The sequence below is a fragment of the Homo sapiens genome, chromosome X (assembly GCF_000001405.40).
Source record: "Homo sapiens chromosome X, GRCh38.p14 Primary Assembly".
NCBI classification, from domain to species: Eukaryota; Metazoa; Chordata; class Mammalia; order Primates; family Hominidae; genus Homo; species Homo sapiens.
The window spans coordinates 71,513,112-71,537,431 of record NC_000023.11 but is presented as its reverse complement, the minus strand read 5'-3'; the positions used below and the strand labels follow the sequence as shown (position 1 = coordinate 71,537,431).

The 24,320-nt window shown below is 42.7% G+C and overlaps 2 protein-coding genes and 1 pseudogene across 12 annotated transcripts in view, besides 4 other annotated features; 1 reads left to right on the top strand and 2 right to left on the bottom strand.

Moving 5' to 3' along the window:
* The window catches only part of OGT (O-linked N-acetylglucosamine (GlcNAc) transferase), a 42,789-nt gene extending 38,461 nt beyond the window's left edge, over positions 1 to 4,328 (bottom strand). Inside the window, exons 1-2 of one of the 2 annotated variants that reach the window (NM_181672.3) lie at positions 4,096 to 4,328; positions 1,074 to 1,254 (exon numbers count right to left, since the gene is read on the bottom strand). In NM_181672.3, coding sequence (NP_858058.1) covers positions 1,074 to 1,254; positions 4,096 to 4,132 — 218 coding nt within the window. In that variant the 5' untranslated portion in view covers positions 4,133 to 4,328. The remainder of the gene's footprint in view (positions 1 to 1,073; positions 1,255 to 4,095) is intronic. The other variant, NM_181673.3, reaches the window with a different exon arrangement.
* Positions 3,754 to 4,412: an enhancer, noted in NCBI's record as "H3K27ac hESC enhancer chrX:70752870-70753528 (GRCh37/hg19 assembly coordinates)". NCBI's record gives its function as "activates a minimal SCP1, AML or CMV promoter by ChIP-STARR-seq in naive H9 embryonic stem cells {active_cell/tissue: H9 hESC(naive)}" and the evidence as "EXISTENCE:reporter gene assay evidence [ECO:0000049][PMID:30033119]".
* Positions 3,754 to 5,277: a biological region, named in NCBI's record as "MED14-independent group 3 enhancer GRCh37_chrX:70752005-70753204".
* Positions 4,078 to 5,277: an enhancer, noted in NCBI's record as "MED14-independent group 3 enhancer chrX:70752005-70753204 (GRCh37/hg19 assembly coordinates)". NCBI's record gives its function as "activates an origin of replication core promoter dependent on BRD2, BRD4, P300/CBP and CDK7 cofactors, and independent of MED14, by STARR-seq in HCT116 cells {active_cell/tissue: HCT116}" and the evidence as "EXISTENCE:reporter gene assay evidence [ECO:0000049][PMID:35650434]".
* Positions 4,238 to 4,577: an enhancer, noted in NCBI's record as "active region_29744". NCBI's record gives its function as "activates an Ori minimal core promoter by ATAC-STARR-seq in GM12878 lymphoblastoid cells {active_cell/tissue: GM12878}" and the evidence as "EXISTENCE:reporter gene assay evidence [ECO:0000049][PMID:35858748]".
* TAF1 (TATA-box binding protein associated factor 1) overlaps positions 6,907 to 24,320 on the bottom strand; it is a 164,169-nt gene continuing 146,755 nt past the window's right edge. For all 10 annotated transcript variants that reach the window (NR_104395.2, NR_104391.2, NR_104392.2 and 7 more), the window contains 2 exons: positions 8,707 to 8,890; positions 6,907 to 7,719 (listed from right to left, as the gene is read on the bottom strand). The gene's annotated coding sequence lies outside the window, so the exon portion shown is untranslated. The remainder of the gene's footprint in view (positions 7,720 to 8,706; positions 8,891 to 24,320) is intronic.
* On the top strand, positions 8,797 to 9,811 carry SOCS6P1 (SOCS6 pseudogene 1; annotated as a pseudogene).

Sequence of the window (24,320 nt, the reverse complement as noted above, 5' to 3'; positions counted from 1 at the left end):
TACTCAGGAGGCTGAGGCAGGAGAATCGCTTGAACCCGGGAGGCGGAGGTTGCAGTGAGCTGAGATTGCGCCACTGCACTCCAGCCTGGGTGACAAGAGCAAAACTCCACCTCAAAAAAAAGAAAAAAATTCTAACTAGAGTCTTGTTACAAAACTACCACATTGGCCGGGCGCGGTGGCTGATGTCTGTAATCCCAGCACTTTGGGAAGCCAATGCGAGCAGATCACCTGAGGTCGGGAGTTTGAGACCAGCCTGACCAACATGGAGAAACCCCGTTTCTACTAAAAATACAAAAATTAGCTGGGCGTGGTGGCACATGCCTGTAATCCCAGCTACTCAGGAGGCTGAGGCAGAAGAATCGCTTGAACCCAGGAGGCAGAGTTGCAGTGAGCCGAGATGGCGCCGCTGCACTCCAGCCTAGGCAACAAGAGCGAAACTCCGTCTCAAAAAAAAAAAAAAAAAAAAAAACCCACCACATTGGAAATCATGATCATTAAGATAAAAAATGGAAAGCTATGTGCACGAGTCTCATTTTCCATTTAAGATTTAATGATGCACATCTTTAAGTGTCTAAATATGCCAGAATAACAATTATTAAAAGGACAGGAACACAAATTCTTCCCTTTTGATTAATTCAACTGATTAACTAAAAGCAACACACCATAACAACTTAATGAAACTCCAGGTATGCATCTCCTGCCACAGCATACATAACCATCATTTCTGAGCATTTCAGTCCCTCAAACTGACAGGTCTCATGAAAGGGAGACTGGATGCTCAGATATACATTGATAATAATTTATTACCTGAACAGAGTCTAGAAAGCAGCAGACCCAGATAGAAAAATCTAGAAAAGGTCCCTAGTCATACTGATAATATAACCACCACCACAAAAGGAAGGAGAAAAACTGGCAGCTGGGCATGTCACAAGTGGGCAAGAGAGCAGATGTGCGTTGGCGGCTCAGTTGAAACCCGGTACTGGAAAAATTTCAAGTTCAAATATTTAAGTATCATTTTTCAAGCTCAGCACCCAGAGGCAGCAATCACGAGCAGGTACCCCAACATCTCCTACCTGTCCAGCCTTCGACACTGGAAGTGTATAGATGAAAGTAATAAAAGCACACCAGTATTGTCTGGCTCTTGTCTCCAGAGCTGCATGCAGTGTCTCTCAGCTGCCTCAAAATCTCCTGCCTGATATTCTCGATGTGCCAACTCAGCTAACCCTTGGAAGGAAAGCATACGTTTCGTTGGTTCTGGAGAATCATCAAAACATTTGAGGGAAGGAGGGGGGAAAACAAAAAGTTAGAAATGTAAACCAAAAAAATGTAAAAATATGGTATATTTAACTTAAAAATGGAAATGCTTGAAACTATGTAAAGCACTAGAGTGTTCTGCACGTTATGTATATCTTCAAGTTAACATCAAGTGCAGAATTGGCATTTTTAGAATTCACCCATTAATACTTTCTTTCCCAAACTAGAAAGGAATATTTACTTCCATATGAGATTACATTTTATGACCAAAAATACTTTGTACTTTTAAATTATAAATCATAGGTAGCATCTAAGGATTCACTGAACATTATTCCTTATACCTTAGTTAACATACAGAAACAAAATATTAAACGTGTGATTTGCAAGGTCACAAAGACTTAATAATATCAGAATAACATATTGGGAAACGTAATATTTTGTGCCATATTTCAGGTTGGATTTGTTGAGGTGGAGTACTGGTAACAATCTATCAATCTTAACCTCAGTGAGGACACCAGATGTGTTAATTCTTTAAATTATATCAATTTTTGTATATTTCAGAATTTAATTCTTTAAAAGGACAAGTAGAAACGAGCCTAAGGGAAAAACCAAAAAGTCAAAGTGCTATTTTTAAAACAGCTGATAAACAAGATGTTTGTCATTTGACAACAGCCAAAATAGTTAAAGGGGTCATCAAACATTTTAAATAAAGACCCAAGATTACACTGCTCCTCTACCATCCCAAACTCAAAAGGAGACTAAATTGGCTAAATCCCACCCACGTTGGTTTAGCACTAACATTTTCCAAACAGCTCTGGTATTGACTAAAGGATTAAGACATTGCAAACAAGCCTATATAAGCCAGGCAGTTACCTGCAACTGCAATGGTCAAAACGTTGGGAGGGAGGGAGGATGGACGCTAAAATATATTTGATAAAGCGCAACATAATGAATAAATAAAAGCACTTCGCTGCAAGTGACTTAATCCAGATACATAAAGATCTTTAAAGGATATAGCTAAAGCCCAGAGAGGGAAAAAAAAAAAAAAAAAACTGCTTGTCACAACTGTAAATACTTAAACTGGGAATTCGACCGTAGCACTTCACTAGCTGGTTGAAATGGGAAACCATGGACAAATTATTTAATTCTACCAAGGTTAAGGTGACTAGTTCAAATTTGAGCCCAGCTCCCCAATCATCAGAGCTGATGAGCGTTCCGGATACTGAGGAAAGCAAAGTAAATTTCCTGACAGAATGCACAGCTGACCACCAACACAAAGAGCATTGAGACTTGCATCCACATCTGGGAGAGGTTATATCTTTAATAGAAACTAAAATTACATTTTAGCTAAGTCTCTAGAACTTCCTAGCTCCTTGTTTTCACACATTACTTTGTCACTTTTCAATGCCGCTTATCTGCTATTTTAACACTTGAAACGACAGCTTTCTCAAATAAATAACACATTAAAAAGGGCAAGCTAGTACAGAATCCAGTACAGAATCTTAAACCTTTGAAAATCACGGTGGAGACGTGGGGAGAGGAGCACGGACTAATTATTAATCCCACTCCCTACAATTACGGATAAGACACTATTGACGATTCACCTACTACTTACAGCACAACTTCCAGGAACAGTAGCTAAAACCCTCCACACATCTCAACTGAGAAACAACCAAAAAATAACCTCGCGGGAAACCTCAGAAGCGCAGCCCAATTCCCCACCCCCTTCCGCCCAAATCGCCTCAATATGGAAAGGCAGCTGAAGGACACTCCTACAATTTGGTTGTTTTCGTATTTTCAGTACCAAATGCTCGCGACTGAAGTGTCTAAAAGGGCAACCGCCTTGTACTTGTGCAGCTACACTCCAGTTGCTTTACAAACTCTTCAAGCAGGGATGGAAACTTAAAAGAATATTACACCCTGTGAATAAAGAGATACTGGGCTGAAGAATGGGGATGGCAGACCCAGAGGCGGCGGCGGAGGAATACATCGAGAAAGTAACACAAAGCGAGAATTGGGCGGGCAGGGTGGTCAACGCCAAAGCAGCAGCATCGGGGTGGTTTCTCCCCCAAGGATAGGAAGTGAACAGGGCTGGCAACCTCGCGAAGGGAAGGGTGTGGTTCCCCGCGGACAGGGTGGGAAATCCAGGCTGAGGGCAGCGGTGGAATTGGGCGATGGCAAAGGAAACCCCTGGAAATTTCCAATCTAAACCGGGACCGCTCAACCGAAAGAACACCAGAAAGGCACTGCCTAGCAGGGTGCTGCTCAATGTCCCCTCTTCTCGAGGTGACTTGTGGCACCATCGACGAGCTTTTGATCGTCCTCGGGTGATGCAAAGTGAGGATATGATTACATCGGAACGGCACCCCCGCCCTAGATTGGCAGAGAAGGACCAAATCTGGCTAAGGGGAAAAGACTGGGGGGGGAGATGAAGGAGGAGATGGAGGGGAAAAAGGAGAGGCGATGAGCTGGAATTAGGGGAGAAAACCGCTGCAAAGGAGTGAAAGGGCAGGGATTCCAATGCAGTCCATTCCACGACATTCTAAGCGCGCACGTGTGATAAAAGCGCCTGGAGAGAGTGGAATGCTAGAACATTTACGAAATAAAAACAAAGCAAGAAAGGCAGCAAAAAGCAAGCAAGGGAGGAGGAGGAAATGTTCGGGAAGCGGACAACAGCGGAAAACCCGATGTGATCAGATGCCAGTAGACCACGAAAAGCTTAGCAATGTCACTGATGTAATGGGGATGGTTCGAGGGAAGGGAGGGAAGGAGTGATACAAGGTAGAGGACGGCGCGAGACCCCAAGGGGGCATCTGCCAAGGTAGAACGGGACACCGGTACCTGTGCTGTCGGCCACGTTGCCCACGGAAGACGCCATCTGGAGCTTCTCGAGGGAGAGCAAAAAAGAGGTAATTGGTCCTGCTGCCGCCACTACCAGCAAGAACGTATTTGGAGGTAGTAGTACAAGGGCAGCAGCCGTAGCAATGCTCTGGAGGGCTTGAGCGGCGGCAGCAGTTACAGGCTTCAAACCCTGGGAACTCTAATTGACCATCTACCTAGTACGGTCTTGAAATGGCGGCGACGGCTCCTCGGCCGAAACAACATGGGCCGGAACTACTTTCTGTTACAATCAAGTGCCCGCGCGGAGGTAGCCGGTAACCAGCGCCGCCAACAAAATGACTTCAAGCTGCAAAGTCGAGATTCCATGTAGTCCTCCGCGCAGCGCCCATTGCGACAAACACCACGGTGGAGACCGCGCATGCGAGCAGCCCTGTCAACCCGACTCGTGGTTAGGGCACTCTCTGGGGCGGAAGCGGCCAAGTTTCTTAAGAGTGTAGCGGAAGGGTAAAAACAAACACACACGGGACGGATACGTTTTTGCCACCGCGATTAAGAAGAGTGTTTGTTACTTAGCAGGTGGTGTCGTTTTAAACATAAATGCCAAAGGCGTCTAAAAAAGTTTATCAACTGTATTCGTACAAAAACGGATGGTTACGACTCTCACGGATCAATTCTGAGCCAGTCAATTCAGAAGATTGCCTCTCAAAGACAGCTGCTCAAAACGAGGAGCGAGAGGGTTCCGATTTGAGCCCGTCTTCATTGTGACTCGGCCATCGATTTCAGCACTTCGATGAAAAAGACTGAAGCTTTCACAGGGCCAGTTGAATGCAGACACCTTCAATGTTGGCCGTATAGCCTGAAATTTCAAAATCGTTTTGGTATTCAGAATACTCCTGCCCACGGTGATAGGGCAAATGTTTAATAACTCAGGGACATGCTGGGCGTTTGCACTCCGAAGGCAGCCATAAAAATGTTAAAGGTGATTCACGTTCGTCAAAATCCATGACTCTCCTCGAGTTGTGACTTCATTTCCACCAGCTAGCTCTGCACATTGTCACAGTCGGCGATTCCACTGAGCTCAAAGCAGATCAACAATGATAAATGAATTCACTTGCCATCTGCCTAAACCACACGTCTAGATTGAGTCATGAATTGCCTCTACTTCCTTGAACAAATCGGTTCTTACGATCTTCCTGCAGTTTCAAGTCTACTGTTCAGACATTTTGTCACATTGGTATTTATACTTCACCTCTTGTTCTAGAAACGACTTAAGGTAGCTTGCCACATCAGCAAGAAAGTATTACAAGCCACTGGAGGCTACAAGTTGGATCTCTGAGAGCCTTTTTATTTCAAAAAGTCCTTGATCTAAGAAAGCAGGTCAATGAATTTCTTCAAAAAGTTTTTGCTACCTAGCCCCTTCACTACATTTTTTAAAACTAAGTCCTCAAATTCTGCTTAAATTTCTTCAAAACAGTCAACAAACAATTAATTATGGAAATGGCACAGAGAAAATTCATAATGCTAATTTCTTCCATCCCATAATCAAGAGTCACATCATGCAGTGAAAAAGACAAAAATCACTACACAAACTCTCCTGAAAATTGAGCACCAACCTCTTGTAATTTGATTTAACTGGTAAAACCTCCCCCCCGCACACACACACCTACTACAAGTTCCCTATCTGTAATGAGTAAACTCAGCTTTTCAACTTTTAGAAGAGACTTCTCAGATTCCACTGGCAGATGTTTAGGCCTTGCTGATGAGCGGGTGCTAGCTAATTAACAAAAACTCTTTTTGTTGTTAAATGCAGGTCATGTTCCTAATTCTTCAGCCAATAAGTAACATTTACTAGAGTCTCTATGTGCAAGGCACTGTGGGGGGCACAAAAATGAACAGAAATCCTCGCCCTCAAGGAATCTGAAGCCTAGTTAGGTAGACACAAAAAGCTACTAGAGAGCAATACAGAAGACTATTTAGATGATAAAATATATTACTCTCTATGAATATCTAGGGAGGAAACAGGTAAGGTTGGAGGGGGTGAGAAAGAAGCCTTGATCTAGACATTGAAGGAAGTGCTTTTGTATGTTTTTTATTGTTGTTCACATTGATTTCTGGGTTTTTTTTATGTGCAATTTTAAATTTAGAACCAATTATAATTAAATCAGCTGGGTCTTCAACCCCAATCCCAAACTTTGTCACCCAGTAACACCACTGATGTTGCATTACTTTTTTTGCTGCTGTGTAACAAAGTATCACAAATACAGCTGCTCAGAACAACACACATTTCACAGCAGTAGCACCAGCGCTGGATGAGACCCGGGCTGGTGGCTGCTGTTGCACTGCTGCTGAAAAAAAATGGCTCCAAAGGTTAAATGAAGCCAAAGAAATACATAGATGTGAGAGGAGAAGCCAGCTGGACTTCCTGGGTTGGGTGGGGACTTAAAGAACTTTTCTGTCTTACAAGAGGATTGTAAAATGCACCAATCAGCACTCTGTAGCTAGGATTGTAAAACGCACCAATCAGCGCTCTGTGGCTAGCTAGAGGTTTGTAAAATGCGCCAATCAGTGCTCTGTAAAAACACACCAATCAGTGCTCTGTGGCTAGCTAGAGGTTTGTAAAATGGACCAATCAGCAGTCTGTAAAATGGACCAATCAGCGCTCTGTAAAATGGACCAATTAGCACCTTGTAAAATGGACCAATCAGCACTCTGTAAAATGGACCAATCAGCAGGACATGGGTGGGGACAAATAAGGGAATAAAAGCTGGCCACATTCCGCACCCACCCACCCACCCACCCACCAGGCCAGTAGTAGCAACCCACTCGGGTCTCTTTCCACACCGTGGAAGCTGTGTTCTTTCCGTCTTCACAATGAATCTTGCTGCTGCTCACTCTTTGAGTCCGTGCCACCTTTAAGAGCTGTAACACTCACCGTGAAGGTCCGTGGCTTCATTCTTGAAGTCAGCGAGACCAGGAACCCACCAAAAGGAACCAACTCCAGAACCACCTCCGGAGGGAGATGCAGCCGCACAGGCTCTCCAGGGGTGCGGGACTAATATTCCAGAGAGAAATTGGTCCCCTGGATGAAGTAACCAGTCACAAAGACTAATTAAAATTGATCTTAAAACCTTCCAGAAATCTTGTAACCTGAATAAAAGTAAAGAAGAAACTGATTTCATGGTAGTACAACAACCATCACTAACTAGTGAATGTGGAAAAGATGATTTCTTATTTGGTAGCTGCACTGGTAAAGATATGGCCACCTGTGATATCAACAGTGAAAGATGAAAAAGGTAAAAAAGGAAAAAACAATGAAAGCCTAATGAGTACATTGAAAAAGGCAGCTTTCTGCAAAACAAAAGCAGAACAGCAAGGGGAGCACACCCTATGGGAGTTCTGCCAGATGAGGATACTTTTTCTCTCAGCACCAACAGTCTTTAAAGATGTGAGAGCTCAAAGACCAATAAGGTCCACTTCCCTCCACAATCCTCACTGTAGTCCTCTCCTTGGCTTACAAACTAAGGAGACACGTATCAAAACGGAGATGAGACGAAGAGACTCAAAGCCTTGGTTCATTCTTCCAATCCAAGTCTGGCACGGATTTTCACTATCTTCAGCCTGAAGCTGCATACAAAGAACAAAGTAAAGAGTTCAAAATTTCAGAATGGAGACTTGCATCTTCACTTCAAGGAACATGTGCCTGTACTTATTGGACTTATGCCTCAAGACTATATTCAGTATTCTATGCCTTTAGATGAGAGGCTTTATCCTTTGCAAGGGTGTCATGCTATTGTCTGGACAGTTCTCCCATGGAAGTGAGTGGTGAAGCCAGCTGGACTTCTGGGTTGGGTGGGGACTTGGAGAACTTTTGTGTCTTACAAGAAGATTGTAAAACGCACCAATCAGCACTCTGTGTTTAGCTAAAGGATTGTAAATGCACCAATCAGCACTCTGTAAAAATGCACCAGCCAGGTGCAGTGGCTCACACCTGTAATCCCAGCACTTTGGGAGGCTGAAGCAGGCAGATCATGAGGTCAGGAGATGGAGACCATCCTGGCTAACATGGTGAAACCCCGTCTCTACTAAAAATACAAAAAATTAGTCAGGCGTGGTGGCGGGCACCTGTAGTCCCAGCTACTTGGGAGGCTGAGGCATGAGAATGGCATGAACCCAGGAGGCGGAGGTTGCAGTGAGCTGAGATTGCACCACTGCACTCCAGCCTGGGCGACAGAGCGAGACTCTGTCTCAAAAAAAAAAACAAAAACAAAACGCACCAATCAGCGCTCTGTTTCTAGCTAAAGGATTGTAAATGCACCAATCAGCACTCTGTAAAATGCACCAATTAGCGCTCTGTGTCTAGCTAAAGAATTGTAAAAACACCAAAGAGCACTCTGTAAAATGGACCAATCAGCACTCTGTAAAATGGACCAATCAGCAGGATGTGGGCGGGGACAAATAAAGGAATAAATGCTGGCCGCCCCCAGCCCCACTGGCAACCTGCTTGGGTACCCTTTCACGCTATGGAAGCTTTGTTCTTTTGCTCTTCACAATAAATCTTGCTGCCGCTCACTCTTTGGGTCTGTGCTACCTTTAAAGAGCTGTAACACTCACCGCGAAGGTCCACGGCTTCATTCTTGAAGTCAGCAAGACCAAGAACCCACTGGAAGGAACCAACTCCGGACACAGATGTTTCTGGGAATTCTATCCCCAAAGCTGAGAATCGGGTAGAGCAGGACCTGGTCGTTGCTCCAGAGATCTTTGTGGATCCATCTCTGAATGGCTTGTTCATTGGTACCTGTAAGGAGTTACAATGCAGAGCCCAAGAGCAAGCCATGAAGACATTCCTGAAGACACTTTCATCATTACTACCTCCAATACAGAATCTAAAGGAACTTCTGTGGACTCACAGGTGCAGTTGTCTATGTGTGTGTCTGAAAGTACCCACTGTCATTTGAATTCTAATCCTGACTGTCCTCCTGGGGTTGCAAGAGTTGATGATTCTGTCCAAAGTAGTGACACTATGGTTGTGACAAGCCTTACAGAGGAGCTGAAAAAACCTGCAAAATAATAATGGTGCTGGGGGCAATCATACACTGACAGGCAGAAGAAAAGTGAGCAAATGTGCTAGATGGTTTTTTTCTTGTCCCAGATAGCCATAATGACTGTTATCTTTCAAGCTCAAGCTTTTGCTCCCATGGTAAAACACTTCACACTAGAATTGAACACTCGAATGGTAGGTTTTGCTTTTATGAGCAACCAGATGTGAAAGGACAATTAGTTGATCTAATTGAACATTCAACCAGGGACTCTGGAAAATAGAGTTTTTTCTTATTGAAGGTCTCGGTTACCTGGATCTGCAATTTACCCTGTAAGACTGACCAATCCAATACTACAATTCATACAGTTTTGTTCTTTGCAGCACCCATGACATTTGTTTTATGTCAGCATACCAGAATAGACTTATTTCAAAAACTGCCTTTGCCAAACAAAATGAAGGCTTATTTACAGGAGAAGCATTGCTAAAGGATTATGAAAACCCTGCATCTTGCACTTTGGAATCAAGAAAAAGAGACTGAAATACAGTTTTACAAACTTTCGTTGCTATCAATTTTGATGCCATAACTGTTTCAGTTTTATGTGTAAAAGAGTAATCAATTTGTTGAGAGGTGGGGAAGTGTTGGCAAGGTGTCTTGAGTTTATTTTGGTCCTTTAAAAAGTAAAGTCTTGAGTTCTTAGAAGTGTGAATTATCTTTATCAATTTCCAAAATAATTACAATAGGAATTCTCAGATTCTCCTTAATCTGCCGCAACTCCTCCTCCACTGCTACTCCCACTCCTTTGCTGCTGTCCACTATGATTTTTATGTATTGAAAGCACATTTCATATGTATTCAATCCCAAGTAAAGTAAAGTTGAATGAAATTTTTCTTTTCTTTTTTTTTTTTTTTTTTGAGACGGAGTTTGGCTCCTGTTGCCCAGGTTGGAGTGCAGTGGCACGATCTCACCTTGCTGCAACCTCCGCCTCTCAGGTTCAAGCAATTCTCCTGCCTCAGACTCCCGAGTAGCTGGGATTACAGGCACGTGCCACCACACCCAGCTAATTTTTGTATTTTTAGTAGAGACGGGGTTTCGCTATGTTGGCCAAGCTGGTCTCAAAGTCCTAACCTCAGGTGATCTGCCTGCCTCAGCCTCCCAAAGTGCTGGGATTACAGGTGTGAGCCACCTCACCCTGCCTGAATGAAATTTTTCAAATGAAAATTGTTGTCTTTATTTTTGAGACAGGGTCTCACCCTGTCACCCAGGCTGGAGTGCAGTAGCATGATCACAGGGCATGGTGGTGTGTGGTAGGAGGATCGCAGTGGGAGGATCCTGGACTCAAGTGATCCTCCCACCACGAGCCACCACACCCAGCTAATTTTTTTTTTTTTTTTTTTAAGAGACTGGGTTTCACTATGTTGCCCAGGCTGGTCTTGAACTCCTGGCCTTACGTGATCCTCCTGCCTTGGCCTCTCAAAATGCTGGAGATTACAGGCATGATGGATGCCTGTAATTACTGGCCTAAAAATTGTTGTCTCTTCAAATGGCCCATTTTCAAAAGCTAGTGTTGAAGAGACATACGTATGTGATAAAACACAGAATTTACATATACCTTGTACATTAGATTACATATTTTTAATCTTACACTTTAGAAAGATTTAGAATTATGCATTGATATAATCTTAGACAATAGAACACAGATCTGCAACATATCTTTTAGAACATCGTTTTCCAAATTATTTTAAGGTTGCACTAATTTTTTGGTTGTGAAAAGTTGAATTTTTCTGTTGCCTTCATTTTCATCTGTGGTTTGTCCTCTTTTTAAGTGGCCTTGCACATAAAAATCTTAAATTTATCCCACCAATATAGACATTGTTGCTTTTTCTGTTATTAAACTCTGCTATAAATTGTCATAACATATAAAGACAACTAGAACTATTATTTTTTAAAGTATTAGATGATCTTAGATTTCTATGATAGTATTTTTTGTGTTATCTATATTTTCCTTTGGTAAATGTTTTATCTTGATCTTGTTAGATTAGTAAACATTATCTTGGTTAGAACTTGATTGTACAATTGGTTTTTGTAAGTGATTGTATTATCTTGCAACATTAAAATTTTTATAAAGTTTGAATTGATTTGAATAAAAAGAAAACATTGTTTAAAAAAGAAAAAGCATTGAAGATGGATTTATATTTTTCTTTAATGTAGTCACTATTAAATATGCTACATTTGACCCCTGCCCTCCCTACTTTGCACAAAAAAAGACTCTGCCAGATTTATGGGAGTCTTGTTGCATACCATATATACTGCCATTTAAAAAATAGTTATTTTGTGGGGAAGCACAGTGGCTCACACCTGTAATCCTAGCACTTTGGGAGGCCAAAGTGGGAGGATCGCTTGAGCCTAGGAGTTTGACATCAGCCTGGACAACATGGTGAAACCCCATCTCTACAAAAAAAAAAAAAAATACAAAAAAATTAGCTGGGTGTGGTGGTGCTTGCCTGTGGGCCCAGCTACTCAGGAGGCTGAAATGGGAGAATCACCTGAGCCCAGGGAGGTGGAGGTTGCAGTGAGCCAAGATCACACGACTGCATTCCAGCCTGGGCGACCAAGCAAGACCCTGTCTCAAAAAAAAAAAATAGTTTTTTGTTTGTTTATTTTTATTTTACCTAAGTCTCAAGTAATTTGGAACCATTAATCTTTTTATTCTCTGAATCAGTAGTAATTGGAGGTGGTTATCCCCAATAGTTTTCAGTTATTGTGAAATGCAGCATGTGTATTCATTGCACAATGCTGTAATGTAGTGTTTTTGTATTGCCTTGTTTAGAAGATGTTTCCAGTTACACAGCTTTAAAGGAAAATGTTTTCATCTCACAAAAAACATGTAATTCAAGGTGTTTCTTCCTTTGTCTTTTACAGTTTTCCTATCTCTACCCTCATTTAAACACAGAGGCAGGGCCAGGGGTGGTGGCTCACGCCTGTAATCCCAGCACTTTGGGAGGCCGAGGCAGGCGGGTCACCTGAGGTCAGGGTTTCCAGATCAGCCTGGCCAACATGGTGAAACCCCCTCTTTACTAAAAATATAAAAATTAGCCGGGTGTGGTGGCGGGTGCCTGTAATCCCAGCTACTCTGGAGGCTGAGGCAGGAGAATTGCTTGAACCTGGGAGGTGGAGGTTGCAGTGAGCCAAGATCACACCACTGCACTCCAGCCTGGGCCACAAGAGTGAAACTCTGTCTCAAAAATAAATAAATAAATAAATAAACACAGAGGTAAAGGTCTTAAGTCAAACTTAATGGCTTTGTCATTCAAACATATCTGTATCCCCACTTATTAATTTTCCTTTTTTTTTTTTTTTGAGACAGAGTCTCACTCTGTCACCTAGGCTAGAGTGCAGTGGTGCGATCTCAGCTCACTGCAAACTCTGCCTCCCGGGTTCAAGTGATTCACCTGCCTCAGCCTCCGGAGTAGTTGGGATTACAGGCAACCGCCACTGCACCTGGCTGATTTTTGTATTTTTAGTAGAGATGGGGTTTCACCATGTTGGCCAGGCTGGTCTTGAATTCCTGACCTCGTGATCCGCCCTCCTTGGCCTCCCAAAGTGCTGGGATTACAGGCGTGAGCCACCACACCCAGCCATTTTTTTTTTTTTTAGAAACAGGATCTTGCTCTGCCACCCTCCCACCTCAGCCTCCCAAGTAGCTGGGACTACATGTGTGCACCACCACACCCAGCTTTTTCTCTGTTTTTTGAGATCAGACTGAGATATTATCAGAAAAGACACAAAGCCATAATATCATGGTATTATGCTATTTTGACTTAAAGGGGAAAAGGTACTTAATTTTGCATAAACATTGGTTGTACCTTGTTAATGAAGATTCATTTTCTGATATATTTTCACCTAATATGACACAATATGGAGTGTGTTGTAATATGTGTTCACTATAACACTATAAGAACTATTACAGACTGGGTGAGGTGGCTCACATCTGTCATCCCAGCACTTTGGGAGGCCAAGATGGGCAGATTGCCTGAGCTCAAGAGTTCAAGACCAGCCTGGGCAACATGGCAAAACCCTGTCTCTACAAAAAAAAATTAAAAATACAAAAATCAGCTGGGTGTGGTGGCATGCTCTGGTAGTCCCAGCTACTCGGGAGGCTGAGGTGGGAGGATCACTTGAGCCTGGGAGGTCGAGGCTACACTGAGCCGTGTTTGTGCCACTGCACTCCGGCCTGGGTGACAGAGCAAGAATCTCTAAAAAAAAAAAAAAAAAAAAAAAGAACTATTACAGTTGTGAACTTGTTCTCAAATTGATGCAGACATTTAAACTACTTTTTTGGCAAAACTGTTTATATGTAAACAATTTAAAATGTATCTAGGGTGAGTTAAAAGTTCCTGTGCATCTATATTAGGATGGCAGGTATTGTCAGAGAGCCACTGTATGTTAATAGTAAATGTTGAAATGGCTTCTTCATGTTTCGAGAAGCACTTACTTGTACTATTTGTGAAATCATGGTGCACAGAGATCTTTGAATTGTCCTGAATCCCATTGTATCATGTGAACATAACTTGTCCCCTGAGTTTTCCTTATGATACTATGTGTTTAAGATCTGGCTGTTTAGTGTCAACATTACTCAAATTTTCATCTAAATGTTTTTAAAGTTGTATTTTATGTTGTTTTGGAGAACAAATGTAAATACTGTTCTCTGTCATAAAGTAAATATTTGATGTGCTTTGTATAGCCATAATATATTTAAAGAAATATACCCTGTCATAATACAATTTGAAATTGTTAAATTCTGATAGCATATTGATGAAAATAAAAGTGTTTGCCAAGAAATTAACTGAATTTACAAACAGAAAGAAAGGAGTATTGCAATATTTTCTGCTTTTGTATGGCAAGATAGTCATTTGACATAGGTAGCACAACATTATGTGAAAGATTAACTTTATATGATACTAAAACAGTCTGGTTAAAAATGGAAAGGAAAAGGAGAAATAAAACTTCATTCTGTAGTTTGGTCTAAATACATTTTGATCATAGTTTTGGATGGTAGCTGAGATGACATATGGACACAACCTATAACGGATTTTTTTTTTTTTTTTTTTTTTTTTTTTGAGAGGGAGTCTTGCTCTGTCTCCAGGCTGGAGCGCAGTGGTACGATCTCGGCTCACTGGAACCTCTGCCTCCCGGGCTCAAGCGATTCTCCTGCCTCAGCCTCCTGAGTGGTGGGGACTACAGGCGCACATCACCATGCGCAGCTAATTTTTGTATTTTTTGTAGAGACAGTGTTTCGCTATGTTGCCCAGGCTGGTCTTGAACTCCTGAGCTCAGGTGATCTCCTTGCCTCGGCCTCCCAAAGTGCTGGGATTACAGGCGTGAGCCACTGCATCCAGTCTTATACCTGATTTTTAAATATGTGCTTCTAAAAATCTAAGCTCAAAGGAAAAAAAAGGAAAGAAAGAAAAAAGAAAAGAAAGAAAACAGGCAGGAAAGCTCTATCCATTTGCCATGATAAATAGATCAGAGGTTTTTTTAAATCAAAAGTTTTATCACAAAATATGATGAAGACCAGAGTTATTGTCAAGCCTTACTAGGACACTATTATGCATTTCTACAAATAAGAACGCTATTGAAAGAACACTAAAGTTCTCATTCCCTCTTTCTCAGAAAAAAAAAAGGAAGAAGAAGAAAAGAGAAAAAACCTATTTTCTTTCTACTTGGTGCAATATTCTGAAATTTTAGAAGGTCAAAATATTTATCACAGGAAATTATGATAGAACTAAAATAGTTTTCAAGGAGACCAACTGCACAGGGCAGCTATCTTGCTCTTGAAGAAAATCAAGTGTCATCTAGGAAGTAAATTATAAAGTACACATTATAGTTTCTGAGTCAGTATTATTAAAACAGGATAAAAGTTACTAAAATCTTTTTTTTTTTTTGTTTTGAGACTGAGTCTCACTCTGTCGCCCAGGCTGGAGTGCAGTGGCACAATCTCAGCTCACTGCAGCCTCTGCCTCTCAGGTTCAGGCAATTCTCCTGCCTCCCCAGCCTCCCGAGTAGCTGGGATTACAGGTGCCCACCCCCACACCCAGGTAATTTTTGTATTTTTAGTAGAGACGGGGGTTTCACCATGTTGGCCAGGCTGGTCTTGAACTCCTGACCTAGTGATCAGCCTGCCTCGGCCTCCCAAAGTGCTGGGATTACAGGCGTGAGCCACTGCATCCAGTCTTATACCTGATTTTTAAATATGTGCTTCTAAAAATCTAAGCTCAAAGGAAAAAAAAGGAAAGAAAGAAAAAAGAAAAGAAAGAAAACAGGCAGGAAAGCTCTATCCATTTGCCATGATAAATAGATCAGAGGTTTTTTTAAATCAAAAGTTTTATCACAAAATATGATGAAGACCAGAGTTATTGTCAAGCCTTACTAGGACACTATTATGCATTTCTACAAATAAGAACGCTATTGAAAGAACACTAAAGTTCTCATTCCCTCTTTCTCAGAAAAAAAAAAGGAAGAAGAAGAAAAGAGAAAAAACCTATTTTCTTTCTACTTGGTGCAATATTCTGAAATTTTAGAAGGTCAAAATATTTATCACAGGAAATTATGATAGAACTAAAATAGTTTTCAAGGAGACCAACTGCACAGGGCAGCTATCTTGCTCTTGAAGAAAATCAAGTGTCATCTAGGAAGTAAATTATAAAGTACACATTATAGTTTCTGAGTCAGTATTATTAAAACAGGATAAAAGTTACTAAAATCTTTTTTTTTTTTTGTTTTGAGACTGAGTCTCACTCTGTCGCCCAGGCTGGAGTGCAGTGGCACAATCTCAGCTCACTGCAGCCTCTGCCTCTCAGGTTCAGGCAATTCTCCTGCCTCCCCAGCCTCCCGAGTAGCTGGGATTACAGGTGCCCACCCCCACACCCAGGTAATTTTTGTATTTTTAGTAGAGACGGGGGTTTCACCATGTTGGCCAGGCTGGTCTTGAACTCCTGACCTAGTGATCAGCCTGCCTCGGCCTCCCAAAGTGCTGGGATTACAGGCGTGAGCCACTGCATCCAGTCTTATACCTGATTTTTAAATATGTGCTTCTAAAAATCTAAGCTCAAAGGAAAAAAAAGGAAAGAAAGAAAAAAGAAAAGAAAGAAAACAGGCAGGAAAGCTCTATCCATTTGCCATGATAAATAGATCAGAGGTTTTTTTAAATCAAAAGTTTTATCACAAAATATGATGAAGACCAGAGTTATTGTCAAGCCTTACTAGGACACTATTATGCATTTCTACAAATAAGAACGCTATTGAAAGAACACTAAAGTTCTCATTCCCTCTTTCTCAGAAAAAAAAAAGGAAGAAGAAGAAAAGAGAAAAAACCTATTTTCTTTCTACTTGGTGCAATATTCTGAAATTTTAGAAGGTCAAAATATTTATCACAGGAAATTATGATAGAACTAAAATAGTTTTCAAGGAGACCAACTGCACAGGGCAGCTATCTTGCTCTTGAAGAAAATCAAGTGTCATCTAGGAAGTAAATTATAAAGTACACATTATAGTTTCTGAGTCAGTATTATTAAAACAGGATAAAAGTTACTAAAATCTTTTTTTTTTTTTGTTTTGAGACTGAGTCTCACTCTGTCGCCCAGGCTGGAGTGCAGTGGCACAATCTCAGCTCACTGCAGCCTCTGCCTCTCAGGTTCAGGCAATTCTCCTGCCTCCCCAGCCTCCCGAGTAGCTGGGATTACAGGTGCCCACCCCCACACCCAGGTAATTTTTGTATTTTTAGTAGAGACGGGGGTTTCACCATGTTGGCCAGGCTGGTCTTGAACTCCTGACCTAGTGATCAGCCTGCCTCGGCCTCCCAAAGTGCTGGTATTACAGGCGTGAGCCACCGTGCCCGGCCAGTTACTAAAATCTTAAATGGGTTATGAGCAATCTCTCTGTTAATGCTACATCTCAATATTTTCTTTAAAATGCCTTCAGTTACAAAAAATTAGCCGGGCATGGTGGCGGGCACCTGTAGTTCCAGCTACTCGGGAGGCTGAGGCAGGATAATGGCGTGAACCCAGGAAGCAGAGCTTGCAGTGAGCCGAGATCACACCACTGCACTCCAGCCTGGGCAACAGAGCGAGACTCCATCTCAATAAATAAATAAATAAATAAATAAATAAATAAAATAAAATGCCTTCAGGCCAGGGGCGGTGGCTCACACCTGTAATCCCAACACTTTGGGAGGCCGAGGTGGGCGGATCACTTAAGGTCAGGAGTGCAAGACCAGCCTGACCAACATGGCGAAACCCCATCTCCACTAAAAATACAACAACAAAAAAATTAGCCAGGCATGGTGGTGGGCACCTGTAATCCCAGCTACTCTGGAGGCTGAGGCAGGAAAATCGCTTGAGCGCAGGAGGTAGAGGCTGTAGTGAGCCTAGATCGAGCCACTGCACTCCGGCCTGGGTGACAGAGCTAGACTCTGGCTCAAAAACAAACAAACAAACAAACAATAAATAAAACAAGGAACAATTGCCAGTTCCATAAATAAATTTCTAAAATAAAGTATTGGTACACTAGCAATCACAAATTTAGTTTTTTATAATACTCTTTAACCTTTTTATAAACATCCTTTTTATTTGTTTTTATTTTTTTTATTTTTATTTTTTTGAGATGGAGTCTCGCTCTGTCTCCCAGGCTGGAGTGCAGTGGCGCGATCTCGGCTCACTGCAAGCTCTGCCTCCCGGGTTCATGCCATTCTCCTGCCTCAGCCTCCCGAGTAGCTGGGACTACAGGCGCCCGCCACCACGCCTGGCTGATTTTTTGTATTTTTAGTAGAGACGGGGTTTCACCATGTTAGCCAGGATAAACATCCTTTTTATTAATCAATTATAACATGGCAAAATATGTAGTCACTGTTTCTGAAGAGAGTGTTCCAAACTCTACATTTAGGAGTAATGAAAAATTATTATTACTTTTTTTTTTTTTTTGAGACGGAGTCTCGCTCTGTCGCCCAGGCTAGAGTGCAGTGGCTTGATCACCGGCTCACTGTAACCTCCGCCTCCCGGATTCACGCCATTCTCCTTCCTCAGCCTCCCGAGCAGCTGGGACCACAGGCACCCGCCACCACGCCTGGCTGATTTTTTGTATTTTTAGTAGAGACGGGATTTCACCGTGCTAGCCAGGATGGTCTCGATCTCCTGACCTCGTGATCCGTCTGCCTCGGCCTCCCAAAGTGCTGGGATTACAGGCATGAGCCACCGCGCCCGGCCAGGGTAATGAAAAATTCTTATAGAATTTTATAATAAGTAGCTGGGTTCAGTGGCTCAGTGGCTCACATCTGTAATCCCAGCATTTTGGGAGGCTGAGGCGGGCAGATCACGAGGTCAGGAGTTCGAGACCAGCCTGACCAACATGGTGAAATCCCATCTCTACTAAAAATACAAAAAATTATCCGGGCATGGTGGCACGCGCCTGTAGTTCCACCTACTCGGGAGGCTGAGGCAGGAGAATTGTTTGAACCCGGGAGGCGAAGGTTGCAATGAGCCGAGATTGCGCCACTGCACTCCAGCCCAGGTGACAGAGCCAGACTCCGTCTCAAAAAAAAAAAAAAAAAAAAAGAAAGAAAAGAAAAGAATTTTGTAATAAGTATACATTGGATTAAAGAAATTTTATAGTCATGTTGAAGTGTTATGAAATTAACACTTGCAATCAGACTTCTGTAATTAACACCTTTTCTCTGTTTCAAATCAGGTGTGTACCATTTGTATTTAGAATCCCACAGAATTATCCCAATTCCATTGATTTCAACATGTTTTGGTTTGTAAACAAAGTGATTTCTTGGCCTGGCATGGTGGCTCACGCCTGTAATCCCAACACTTTGGGAGGCTGAGGTGGGCAGATTGCCTGAGCCTCAGGAGTTGGAAACCACCCTGGGCAACATGGTGAAACCCCGTCTCTACTAAAATACAAAAAAAATTAGCTGGGCATGGTGGCACTCGCCTGTAATCCCAGCTACTTGGGAGGCTGAGGCGGGAGAGGCTTGAGCCCAGAAGGCAGAGGCTGCAGTGAGCCAAGTTCATGCCACCGCACTCCAGCCTGGGCAATAGAGCAAGACTCCGTCTCAAAAACAAACAAAGTGATTTCTTATACACTTCTGGGAATTAATTGTATAAGAATTTATGTATCTGTTTCTAGATATAGTCTATATATATACATTTTTTAAGTGGAGATGGGAGTTTCACCATGTTGCCCAGGTTGGTCTGGAACTCTGGGCTCAAGCAATCTGCCTGCCTCAGCCTCCCAAGGTGCTGGGACTACTGTGCCCAGTCTTAATTTTTTAATTTTTATTTAAGGGTACAGTAGTGTGCACTTGTGGTACCAGGTACTTGGGAGCGTCAGGAAGGAGGATTGCTTGAGCCCAGGAGTTTGGAGCTGTAATGCGATATGATTACACCTGTGAACAGCCACTGCACTCCAGCCTGGGCAATGTAGCAATACTTTATCTCTAAATAAAAATTCATTTAAAAAACAATAAACCCCCCTACACATACACACACATTTATTTTCTTACACTTTCCATGGATCAAGAATCCAGGCACAGGTTAACTGGGTCCTCTGCTCAGGGTCAAGGTGTTGGCCAGGCTTCAAACTCATATGAGGCTAAAGGTCTTCTTCCAGACTCATGTAGTTGTGGCAGAATTTAGTTCCTTGTGGCTGTAGGACTGAAGTTCCCATATTCTTGCTGGCAGTTGGGGTGGTGGGTGCTCTCAACTGTTAGAAGCCACACATATTCCTTGTCTTGTTTTGTTTTTTAATTTTTAATTTTAATTTTTGTGGGTACCATAGTAGGTGTATATATTATGGGGTACATGAAATATTTTGATACAGGCATACAATGCATAATAATCACATCAGGGTGAATGGGGTATTTGTCACCTCAAGCATTTATCCTTTGTGTTACAAACAATCCGATTATATTCTTTTAGCTATTTTTAAATGTACAATAAATTATTGACTATAGTCGCCCTATTGTACTATAAAATACTAGAACTTATTCATTCTATCCAACTATATTTTTCTATCCATTAACCATCCCACCTTTCCTCCCCCCTCCACTACCCTTCCCAGCCTCTGGTAACCACCTTCTACTCCCCACATTCTGGTGATGTGGCCTCCTCCCTCTTCGAAGTCAGCAATGGAGAATCTCCCTTGTGTCAAATTCCTGTCACGCTTTGAATCTCACAAGAAATAGCCCAGTTCCCTCCCGCCCTTTTAAAATTGTGGTTAAAAAACACCCAACAGCCTGTAAATCCCAGCACTTTGGGAGGCCGAGGCGGGCAGATTGCTTGAGCCCAGTAGTTTGAGACCAGCCTGGTCAACATAGTGAAACCACGTCTCTGCTAAAAATAAAAATTAAAAAAAAAGAAATTAAGAAAAAATGAGCTGGGAGTGGTGGCAGGAGCCTGTAGTCTCAGCTACTGGGGAGGCTGAGGCAAGAGAATCACTTGAGCCCAGGAGGTGGAGGTTGCAGTGAGCCAAGATCGCGCCACTGCACTCCAGCCTGGGCGACAGAGAGAGACTGCATCTCAAAACAACAACAACAACAACAGCAACAAAAAATCCCACAACATAAAATTTACCACCGTAACTTTTTTTTTTTTTTTTTTTTAAGACGGGGTCTCACTCTGTCCCCCAGGCTAGAATGCAGTGGCGTGATGACAGCTCACTGTAGCCTTGAACTCTTGGGCTCAAGTGATCCTCCTACCTCAATCTCCCAAAGTATTGGCATTACAGGCGTGAGCCGCTGCACGTGGCCCATCTTAACCCTTTTTAAGTGTGCAGTTCAGTAGTGTTAAGTAGATTCACATTGTTGTGCAATGGATCTCCAGAACTTTTTCATCTTACAAAACTGAATCTCTATCCATTCAAAAACAGCTCAGGCTGGGCACGGTGGCTAATGCCTCTAATCCCAGGACTTTCGGAGGCCGAGGCTGGCAGATTGCTTGAGCCCAGGAGTTTGAGACCAGTCTGGGCAACATGAAGAAATCCCAACTCTACAAAAAAAAAAAAAAAAGCAAAAAATCAGCTGAGCATTGTGGCCCGAACCTATAGTTCCAGCTACTCGGGAGGCTAAGGTGGGAGGATCACCTGAGCCTCAGAATTCGAGGCTGCAGTGAGCTGAGATTGCACCGTTGCACTTCCGCCTGGATGACGGAGTGAGACTCTGTCTCAAAAATAATAATAATAATTAATAAAAATAAATTTTAAAAAAACTCCCTCCCTCCCCCAACCCCTGTTGACAACCCTTCTACTTTCCGTTTCTATGGATTTCACTACTTTAGATACATCCTATAGGTGGAATTATACAGTATTTGTCTTTTTGTGACTGAAGAGCCCAGTCCTTTTTAAGAGTTCACTTGATTAGGTCAGGCTTACCCAAGATAATCTTTATTTCTTAAAATCAGCTGACTTAATTACATCTGCACAATCCCTTCACAGCAGTTTCTAGATTCATGTTTGACTAAGTAACAGGGAGAAAGTATGTATACACCGGGATGAGGGAATATTGGGGATCATCTTAGAATTTTGCCTACTACAAACAGCAATGAGTAACCCTGAAAAAGTGGGGAGAGTGCTAAGTGGGGGATGGGGGAGAGGGTCTGTCGGTTTCATATACTGAGTGTAACTTTCATATATAGTATTAGCCCTTTCAATTTGTCACATACGAACCTCTAGGCAACAGAGCACTGAAAAAGAAATAACCTGATTCCATAATGTTCAAGGTATGAAATTCTTGCCTCAGATTAACTGAAGGATTTGGTAGAGAGAAACAAAAGCAAGTAAAGAAAAGTAAATTAGCTGAGACCAAAAAGCTTTGGATAATTTCATCCCCTGCCCTATGGAGTGGGCATAGCAGAGATATTAGTGATAAGGACCCCATCCTCAAAGGTCTGAAGGCTGCCTCTGGGGTGAAGAGCTGGGACATTAAAGAGCATAAACTGAACGGAAAAACCTACCAGGCCTCACATTGCATGCTGAAAATAGGTGAAAGGGTGTAGAGCTGCAAGAACACATGTGGGATATCAAAATAGCTCTGGAATTCATCCTCCAACTCCACTGCCAGTGCCACGCCCCTCATCCTGGCTTGGGCAATTGCAACAGCCCTGTAACTGGTCTCTGGGGCTCTATTCCTACCTGAATCTAATTTTCCACACTTGACCTTAGAAAATCTAAAATACAAACCAGAATTAAGTCAATACTCAGCTTAAAACCCCTCAGTGGCTCTGCATCATTTGGTTTAGTGCACAAGGCCCTCCATATGTCAGCTCTGCCTACTAATCCAGTCTCATCTGCTGCCACATTCCTGTACTCACACTTAGCGTCACTGATACTGGTTTTAGTTCCCTAAAAAGATCAGGCTGTTTCACACTTCCAACCATGCCTTTTCCCAGTCTCCTCCCTCTAGCTAGAATGGCCATCCCCTCCATCCCAGTCTGCCTAGCAAATTCTTACATATCCTTCACTCTCCTCTTTTTAAGTAAAGATACTGGCATGTGGCCCATCATCTCCCTCCCGACTCTTAATTCCTGACTCTTTTACGAGGGGATCTCATTGTCTATGAAGATGACACAATCAGCAACTTCTCATTTCCTTGACTCTCTCAATTACCTTCTCTGTTGCACTTCAGCCACACACAAAGCACCAGATCTTGAAGTTTATTGTGGTCTGGAACTGCTCACCTCTAACATCTATAACCCCAGTGTTTCATATGAACCACAGCGCCCTCTCCTTTCTGCTCCCTCAGGCCCCCGCCTACATGTGAGGGTTTTTTTTTTTTTTTTTTTTTGGTTTAGTTTTTTAACCTCTTATGGACTCCTCTAGTCCTTTAAGCCCTCTTTTTTCTCCCAGTCTGTCAGTCCCTCCTGGCCTCTTTTCCTTCCCCTCTCAATGGTTTTTGTTTTGTTTGTTTGTTTGTTTGTTTGCTTTTCTGAGACAGGGATCTCACTCTACCACCCAGGCTAGAGTGCAAAGGCACAATCCTAGCTCACTGCAGCCTTGAACTCCTGGGCTCAAGCAATCCTCCCACTTCAGCTTCCCGGGTAGCTAGAACTACAGGTATGTCCGGAATTCGTTCCTTCTGGTGGGTTCTTGGTCTCGCTGACTTCAAGAATGAAGCCGTGGACCTTCACGGTGAGTGTTACAGCTCTTAAAGGTGGTGCGGACCTAAAGAGTGAGCAGCAGCAAGATGTATTGTGAAGAGCAAAAGATCAAAGCTTCTACAGTATGGAAGGGGACCTGAGCGGGTTGCTGCTGCTGGCTGGGTGTGGCCAGCTTTTATTCCCTTATTTGTCCCCACCCACATCCTGCTGATTGGTCCATTTTACAGAGTGCTGGTTGGTGCATTTACAATCCTTTAGCTAGACACAGAGCGCTGATTGGTGCATTTTTACAGAGTGCTGATTGGTGCATTTACAATCCTTTAGCTAGATAGAAGAGTTCTCCAAGTCCCCACTCAACCCAGGAAGTCCAGCTGGCTTCACCTCTCACAGGCATGCACCACCTCACCTGGCTAATTTAAAAAAAAGAAGTTTTTATAGATGGGGTCTCACTATGTTGCCCAGGCTGGTCTCGAACTCCTGGCTTCAAGTCATCCTCCTGCTTTGGCCTCCCAAAGTGCTGGAATTATAGGCATGAGCCACCATGCCTGGCCTCAACCTTTCTTAACCCCATGCTTGACTCTCTGAACTACTCTGTCACCAGCACCCTCAATTCCCTTTCATCCCTGTCTACCACACCAGCCCCACAGACCTCTAACGTTGGGTGGGTACAGCTAACCACTCTTCTCCCCTTCTTCATCTGGATGTTTCTACCCTACAAAACAATACAAATCAGTGCCACTAGAAATACAGGGTCTTCAGCCTCAGTGGAACGACTACAAGCAACACTGCATTTACATCCATCCCTATCTCCATTCCATCTTCCTGTTCAAGGTCCACCCATCCCCCTGTGTCCCAAATGCCATCTTTTTCCATCTCTTTCAGCAGACTGCTCCATGAATTATCCATTCTCTGATTTCAACCTGTGGTGTCTGCTCCTCAGCCTTAAACACGTTAGGGCCTCACTCATCAAGAAAAAAATTACAAAACTCTCCCTTAATCCTGAATCTTAATCAGGTGCCAATTCCTTTCCTTCTCAGCT